Here is an 8,716-nt window from a genome sequence, read left to right as displayed (position 1 = left end):
GCACTTGTTGCCCAGGCTGGAGTGCAATGGTGCCATCTCAGCTCACTGCAACCTCCGCCTCCCAGGTTCAAGCGATTCTCCTGCCTCAGCCTCCTGAGTAGCTGGGATTACAAGCATGCACCACCACACCCGGCTAATTTTGTATTTTTAGTAAATATGAGGTTTCTCCATGTTGGTCAGGCTGGTCTCGAACTCCCAACCTCAGGTGATCTGCCCGCCTCGGCCTCCCAAAGTGCTGGGATTATAGGCGTGAGCCACCGCGCCCGGCCCCTTTTTCCTTTTCTTGAGACAGTCTCACTCAGTCTGCACTCCAGGCTGGAGTGCAGTGGCACCGTCATGGCTCACTGCAGCCTTGACCTCCTGGGCACAAGTGTTCCTCCCACCTCAGCCTCCTGAGTAGCTAGGACTACGGGCACGCACCACCACACTCAGCTAATTTTTTTTTCTTTTCTTTTCTTTTCTTTTTGTGAGACAGGGTCTCACTCTGTTGCCCAGACTAGAGTTCAGTGGGGCGATCTCAGCTTACTGCAACCTCCGCCTCCCAGGTACAAGCAATTCTCCCGCCTCAGCCTCCTGAGTAGCTGGGACTACAGGCACGCATCACCACACCTGGCTAATTTTTTAATTTTTTGGTAGAGATGGAGTTTCACTGTGTTGGCCAGGCTGGTTTCCAACTCCTGACCTCAAGTGATCTGGCTGCCTTGGCCTCTCAAAGTGCTGGGATTACAGGGGTGAGCCAGCGTGAGTGGCCTAATTTTTGTATTGTTTCTAGAGACAGAGTTTTGCCATGTTGCCCAGACTGGTCCCAAACTCCTGGGCTCAAGCAATCCTGCTGCCTCAGCCTCCCAAAGCATTGGTATTATAGGCGTGAGCCACCATGCCCAGTCTTTTTTCCTTTTTTGTAATAATAGTTTGAGTCTGTACAGCAATCCAGCTGTATGCTTAGTGAGACATTGCCAAGTTTACCAAATGTGCGTTCAGAACCACATGGAGGAGCCCCTTCTTCCACTCCTACAGTCTGGTGGCCCATCCATCTAACATGATTATCTTGCCATTCGTTGATATGTTCTTGCAATTTTTTTTTTTTTTTTTGAGATGGAGTCTTGCTCTGTCGCCCAGGCTAGAGTGCAGTGGAGCCATCTCAGATCACTGCAACCTCCACCTCCCAGGTTCAAGCAATTCTCCTGCTTCAGCCTCCCAAGTAGCTGGGATTACAGACGCCCACCATCACACCTGGCTAATTTTTGTGTTTTTGGTAGAGACAGGGTTTCACCATGTTGGCCAGGCTGGTCTCGAACTCCTGACCTCAGGTAATCCGCCCACCTCAGCCTCCCAAAGTTCTGAGATTACAGGCTGAGCCACCACGCCCAGCCTGTTCTTGCAATTTGAAGGAAAATGGCAATGGCCAGGAATTTCCTATGAGCAATGGGTGCTGAGTTAGCATTAACTTAGTATATCATATTTTATTTATGTTTTAGATACAAGGTCTCACTCTGTAGTCCAGGTTGGAATGCAATGAAACAATCATGGCTCACTGTAGCCTCGACCTCCTGGGCTCAGGTGATCCTCCCACCTCAGCCTCCCAAGTAGCTGAGATCACAGGCACGCGCCACCATGCCCAGCTAATTTTTTTTTTTTTTTTTTTTGAGACGGAGTCTCGCTCTGTTGCCCAGGCTGGAGTGCAGTGGTGCAATCTCGGCTCACTGCAAGCTCCACCTCCTGGGTTCACGCCATTCTCCTGCCTCAGCCTCCTGAGTAGCTGGGACTACAGGCGCCCGCCACCACGCCCGGCTAATTTTTTGTATTTTTAGTAGAGACGGGGTTTCACCGTGTTAGCCAGGATGGTCTCGATCTCCTGACCTCGTGATCCGCCTGCCTCGACCTCCCAAAGTGCTGGGATTGCAGGCGTGAGCCACCGTGCCCGGCCTTAATTTTTAAATTATTTGTAGAGACTCCAGGTCTCCTTGTATTGTCCAGGCTGGTCTCAAACTCCTGGGCTCAGGCGATCCTCCCACCTCAGCCTCTCAAGTAGCTAGGACTACAGGACTGCACCACCTGGATAATTTTTAAATTTTTTGGTGGATACAGGGTCTCCCTATGTTGTCCAGGCTGGTCTGGAACTCCTGACCACAAGCAATCCTCCCACACTGGTCTCTTAAAGTGCTGAGATAGTTGTAAGCCACCATGCCTGGCAGCAGATAATATTTTCTTACAGGCCTGATGAGACACGTCACCTGACTGTTTTCCAATTTCCAATGCCAGAAATCCTGGATGGGAAAGAGGAGCCACTTGCCCCAGTGAACATGCAGAGGCTGTGGCGAGAGCAGGGAGAGAATTCCCTCATTTTCTGTACTACTCCCCTGAGGCCCCTTTCTCTGGGTGAAAATGCCCCCCTGAGTTGCAATGACAGGCCCTGGGAAGGGGAAGAGAATTCCTCTGTGGGAACTCTCTGTCTTCTAGGGATAAACCGAGTCTGCTGCTGGACACAGGGAGGGGAGGGGAGGCTCGAATGTAAAGAGAAAAGACACTGTGGGCCGGAAGCGGTGGCTCAAGCCTGTAATCCCAGCACTTTGGGAGGCCGAGGCGGGAGGATTGCCTGAGCTCAGGAGTCTGCTACCAGCCTGGGCAACACGGTGAAACCCCGTCTCTACTAAAATACAAAAAAATTGGCCAGACGGGGCGGCGTGCGCCTGTAGTCCCAGCTACTCGGGAGGCTGAGGCAGGAGAATGGCGTGAACCCGGAAGGCGGAGCTTGCAGTGAGCCGAGATCGCGCCACTGCACTCCAGCCTGGCGACAGAGCCAGACTCCGTCTCAAAAAAAGAAAAAAGAAAAAAAAAGAAACGAGACTGTGCCCACATGGAGGCGCAATGACGGCGAGCCTAAGGTGGGAATACTCAGCTCTACACCACTCTCCCTGCACCTAGCACGTCCCCAGCAGCAGGCTTGGTGGGCACCCAAGGCCAGAGCCAGGACTGGGGGAGGCAAGCCAGGAAGCCAGGAAGCCAGGTACAGCGTCTCCAGAGGTTTCCACTCGAGGGTGCCCACCCTGCGTGTGCACAGCAGGAGAGTGAGCACCCCCTTACAGTCTGCACTGGAAGCACCTCGCTTGCCTCCCCTCATCCAAGCCTCCCCAAAGACACAATTAAACGCTACAGAGGATTATTTAACAAGATCTGGGATCCTCAGAGCCGTAAGGATGATGACGGGCTGAAGCCAGTATCGAGCCTAATTCTTCCAACCATTGCATAGTCAGCAGTAAACTATGCAAGAGGGAAAAGGAAATAGGCGAGGGAATTAGAGTTTGTTTCCAAATTCCTATTTGGCCGTCAGTATCATGGTATCAGCAGAAACTCCTTGGCTTCCTTCGTTCTTGTTTCCAGCCTTACTTTCCAATTTGGGAACATCCTAAGGAAGGCGCTGGACGAATGGCCGGGGCTAGGCTCTCTCTGGTCCTGCCACTGCCAATGGTACACGGTGGCGTTGGGCAAGTCGTGGCTTCTACGAGCTTTGTTTTCCTTATATAAAAATGTACATAAGGCCGGGTGCGGTGGCTCACGCCTGTAATCCTAGCACTTTGGGAGGCCAAGGCAGGCAGATCATGAGGTCAGGAGTTCGAGACCAGCCTGACCAACATGGTGAAACCCCATCTCTACTAAAAAAAAAAAGAAAGAAAAAATTACCTGTGCGTGGTGATGCGTGCCTGTAATCCCAGCTACTCAGGAGGTTGAGGCAGGAGAATCGCTTGAACCTGGGAGGTGGAGGTTGCAATGAGCCAAGATTGCACCACTGCACTGCAGCCTGGGCAAGAGAGCAAAACTCCATGTCAAAAAAAAAAAAAAAAAAAAGAAGAAGTCAGAACTCAAGGGGACTTGGCCCTGATGAGGAGTTTGGGTTTTATTATAAATGTAGCAGAAATCCATTTGTAGAAATTTTCAGCAGAGAACTCATATGATCTAAGCTTTTTGAGAGCCAGGACTGTGTTTCTTTTTCTTTTGTTTCTTTCTTTCTTTTTTATTTATTTATTTTTTTTGTTTGTTGAGATAGGCTCTTCCTCTGTTGCCCAGGCTGGAGTACAGTAGCATGATCTGGTTCACTGCAGTCTCAACCTCCCGGGCTCAAACAATCCTCCCACCTCAGCCTTCTGAGAAGCTGTGATTACAGGTGTGTGCCACATGCTCAGCTAATTAAAAAAAAAAATCTTGGTAGAGATGAGGTCTATCTATATTGCCCAAGATGGTCCTGAACTCCTGGGCTCAAGCAACCTTCCTGCCTCAGCTGCCCAAAGTGCTGGGATTGTAGGTGTGAGCCACCGTGCCCAGCCAGGACTCTCTTTCTTAATGTTTTCCAACCATTTATTGAACTGAATTGAATTTCACTCACTCTTCCAAGAATTAGCTGTCTGACCTTGGCCAAATCCCTTCACAGACAACTGTCCCACAGGGTCTTCTTTGCACTTAGTAGGCATTAGCCCAGTGTTTGTTGGATGGAGACCTGCAGCTGCCTCACTGTCATAGGAAGTGAGAGGATGACTCCACCCAGCTCCACCATTTGCATGAGTCTGTGACCTCAGACTGCTGAAATGATCATAGAGTTATCCATGCTTCTCCAAATGCTTGGTTCCAGGTGCCTTATTACAGCCCATTTGTCTCCAGAATGACCCAAACCCCTCCCTGGACCCTCGGCCACAAAGGGGAAATTAATAGTAACATAAAAAGTTAAGCAGGTGAGAGAACATTATCACTCTTGTCAACAATAAAATCTGCTGCTGATCTTCAGTTGTGAGGACAGGCACATCTATTATTTATAGAATACAGATTGTTAAATATTAAATACTTGAGCCTGGGATAGTGTGAAGGTAAAACCAGGAGTGTGAACTTGTCAAAATCGTAAAAATGGTAACTCTTTGCAAAGGTGAAGTGCACCTACATTTATTACTGCTTTTATTGCACTATAAATTAAGGGGGGGAGCCCATGATGTGTCAATTTCAAGTTCTTTTTTTTTTTTTTTTTTGGGACGGAGTCTCGCTCTGTCACCCAGGCTGGAGTGCAATGGCACGATCTAGGCTCACTGCAACCTCCACCTCCCAGGTTCAAGCAATTCTCCTGTCTCAGCCTCCCGAGTAGCTGGCACTACAGGCGCACGCCAACATGTCCGGCTAATTTTTGTATTTTTAGTAGAGACGGGGTTTCACCATATTGGTCAGGTTGGTCTCAAACTCCTGACATCAGGTGATCCACCCTCCTCGTTCTCCCAAAGTGCTGGGATTACAGGCGTGAGCCACCACACCCGGCTGTCAATTTCAAGTTCTAGGTGATAAGCATTATCGTTGGGATGGCATCTGTCTGTACCTAGCTCTGCTTTACAAACAGCTCCTAGCCGACTTGCCTAGAACTATGAACTATTTCATCTGGGAAGGTGGTAAGAGAGAGGATTTCTTCCTTATTTACCACGTGACAGAATGGCAGGCAAGTCAAACATTTGATGAACTGGTAATTTTTCTTGTAGTTACTTGCACATATGTCCAAAGGTTTGTGTTGATGAAGGCAAAAATACTTCTTAAAGATATTAAAAGTCCAGGCTGGGTTCAGTGGCTCACACCTGTAATCCTAGCACTTTGGGAGGCCGAGGTGGGTGGATCACCTGAGGTCAGGAGTTCAACACCATTCCGGCAACATAGCAAAACCCTCATCTCTGCTAAAAATACAAAAATTAGCGGGTGTGGCTGCGCATACCTGTAATCCCAGCTATCTGGGAGGCTGAGGCAGGAGAATGGCTTGAACCTAGGAGGCAGAGGTTGTAGTGAGCCAAGATCAAGCCTGGGCAACAGAGTGAGACTTTGTCTCCAAAACACAAAAAAAAAAACCTTGAAAGTTGCCAAACATCTTAATTTTTGTTTTTTTTTTTTTTGAGATTGGGTTTTGCTCTTGTTGCCCAGGCTGCTGGAGTGCAGTGGTGCGATCTTGGCTCACTGCAACCTCCACATCCCAGGTTCAAGCAATTCTCCTGCCCCAGCCTCCCGAGTAGCTGGGATTACAGGCACACACCACCCTGACTGGCGAATTTTTTGTATTTTTAGTAGAGACGGGGTTTCACCATGTTGGCCAGGCTGGTCTCGAACTCCTGACCTTGTGATCCACCCGCCTCAGCCTCCCAAAGTGCTGGGATTACAGGCGTGAGCCACCGCGCCTGGCCTCATCTTAATTTTTATATGATTTTGACATCCCTCAATTTACCCTAATTTATTTCTGCCCTGAATTTTTCATGCAAATTTAGAACTTAACCCACCACCATTTGCTTCATGACATGAAGTGAGATACCGTGAGATTTTTCAGTCTGCCCCTAAGGACTCATAGATGTAAGAACTTGATTTCTTGATTTACTGCTCATAATAAAATGATTTTTTCCCTTTTCTTACAAAGAAGATTTGCACATCCAATTTGTTTTTCCTTTTTAAAAAATGTGTTGAATTAAGCCAAAATCTTTCCAACGAAGCACCTGATTCAAACACAAATTCTGTCCCCTGGAATATGCAGCCTCATGTTTAATAAGCACCCAGCAGGGATTATGCATTAAATTATCTCCCTTAAAAACTTGTTGATAGATTTATCAATATTTGGATTAATTTTAATGTTAAAGAATTAAATCCTTAATGTTTCCACTTTAGGTAGGGAAAGAAAACTACAACTTAATTGTATAGCAATTTAACCTTGATTATCTTTTTTTCTGATTGAACCCTATACAATGATATCAAATTCAAAAATTAACCTTGCCCGCAGGATGGATAATTAGTCAAAACCAGGGAAAAGTCAGAATAAATTAACAATGAAATCAATCCCTTCATTTTATGTCACATTCTGGGAATTCTGAGGCACATTTTCAATATGAGCCCATCACCTTCTTCCAAATTCTGCTGAAGTTATATTCTGGAAAGATCTAGGCTACTTTTAGAGATGGGCAAACTGAGGTTAAGCAAAATTCCATAATGACAGGAGTAATAATCAGAAGAAGAAATGATTCAGGTAGAGACTAACCAGGAAGGAGGGAAAAACCAGAGTTCAGAGGAGCTGAGATGACCTGCCTGAGGACAGAGTAAGGACTGGGGATAAGACAGAGGGAAAATTGCTTTCAAAAAGCTGCTGGCAGCTAGGTGTGGTGGCTCATGCCTGTAATCCCAGAACTTTTGGAAGCTAAGGCGGGAGGATCGCTTGAGCTCAGGAATTTGAGACCAGCCTGGGCAACATAGCCAGACCTTGTCTCTACTTAAAATAAAAATATGAAAATTAGCCACGGGCAGTGGTGCAAGCCTGTAGTCCCAGTTACACAGGAGGCTGAGTCAGAAGGATTGCTTGAGTCCAAGGAGGTTGAGGCTGTGGTAAGCAGTGACTATACCATTGCATTCCAGCCTGGGAGACAGAGCAAGGCCCTGTCGCAAAAAAAAAAAAAGCCAGTGAGCAACCATCTGTCCAGTTTAGATCAGGAAGGCAGAGCGTGCTCAGAGAAAGATCTCTGGTGAAAAAAGGAGATTTAATAGAATAGATGGAATAATTGAGAGCTTAAAAAATAATTAAGAAAAGGATTAACACAAGTCATGCAAGAAAAAAAGGAAAAGAAAGGCAATTAGACACTCTAGGAAAAACAAGCGTATACAAGAAATAATGGCCCGCAAATGAAGCAAATGAAATGTGTCATAACGTTAAGCAATCAGTGGAACATGACAGATTTTTTTTCACGTTTGGAAGAATGGTGTACAGCTCACTACTGGACCAGGCAACAAACCTGAGAATGGTATCATAATGGGAAGCCGTTCATGGGTTTCTGACTTTTAAAGTCAAGCTGCAGACATCTCACCCAAGACTTGGTTGTGTTGGCAAGACAGAACACAAATGTTAACAAGCACTAACACGTGAAAAAGTTAAAAAGTGAAACTGATAGATGTTGTGACATGGAGAGGAGGAAAAATCGGGTGTAAATATCCTTGTCTGACAAAGTGGAGGATCAAATGAAATTGTGGAAAGTGGATATACAAGAAATCAAAATAGATCCTTTTGCAGTTCATTAGCATAATGTGAGAAAACGTTTTAAATGGTCCATTTTTGGTCGGGTGCGGTGGCTAATGCCTGTAATCTCAGCACTTCGGGAGGCGTCCAGTGATCTGCCCGCCTCAGCCTCCCAAAGTGCTGGGATTACAGGCTTGAGCCTCCGTGCCCAGCCAGATTTTCTAGTTCTTCTTGAATCCTTTCTTGAGTTTTTCCCCTTCTCTTAATGGTTGATGTTTATATTATTACAGTACTTAAATTATTCTATCCATCACCTTTCTAACTTTTAATAGGCTTATATTTTGATTTCTTATTTTATTCTATTTTTCTTTATTTCATATCAGATGGGTAACGTCCTGATGTCGTAACTCGTTTTGAGGGAGGCACTGTCACACATGCTCGTGAAAACCTAATTATCATGCGTGAGAAACACATATTCACTCCTTCAAACCCAAAGAATAGACTCGGAGACACGAAGAACAGCGGAAGTGAGACTTTTAATGGAAGTCTTGTAAGATGGGGTGTCTGGTAGGCAGGCACAGCCAGGGCAGCTACAGCAGGTAATTGATCTCCTAGCACACAGTCCCTCCCCCAGTTGCTCATTGGTCTAGTACGATGGGGTTACAGTCTTCCTGGACGTCACCTAAGTTTCATTATCCCCCTTTAAGGTCAGACCCA

At 46.6% G+C, this 8,716-nt stretch overlaps 1 non-coding gene across 1 annotated transcript; it reads right to left on the bottom strand.

Moving 5' to 3' along the window:
- Positions 1–8,376: 8,376 nt before the first annotated feature.
- Positions 8,377–8,475, bottom strand: LOC124904847 (small nucleolar RNA U13). The gene has a single exon (XR_007067439.1). It is a non-coding gene; the product is annotated as a small nucleolar RNA U13 (small nucleolar RNA).
- Positions 8,476–8,716: the final 241 nt, after the last annotated feature.

Source organism: Homo sapiens, chromosome 1, assembly GCF_000001405.40.
Source record: "Homo sapiens chromosome 1, GRCh38.p14 Primary Assembly".
NCBI classification, from domain to species: Eukaryota; Metazoa; Chordata; class Mammalia; order Primates; family Hominidae; genus Homo; species Homo sapiens.
Note: the sequence above shows the minus strand (reverse complement) of the source record. Positions and strands in the feature narration are given on the sequence as shown.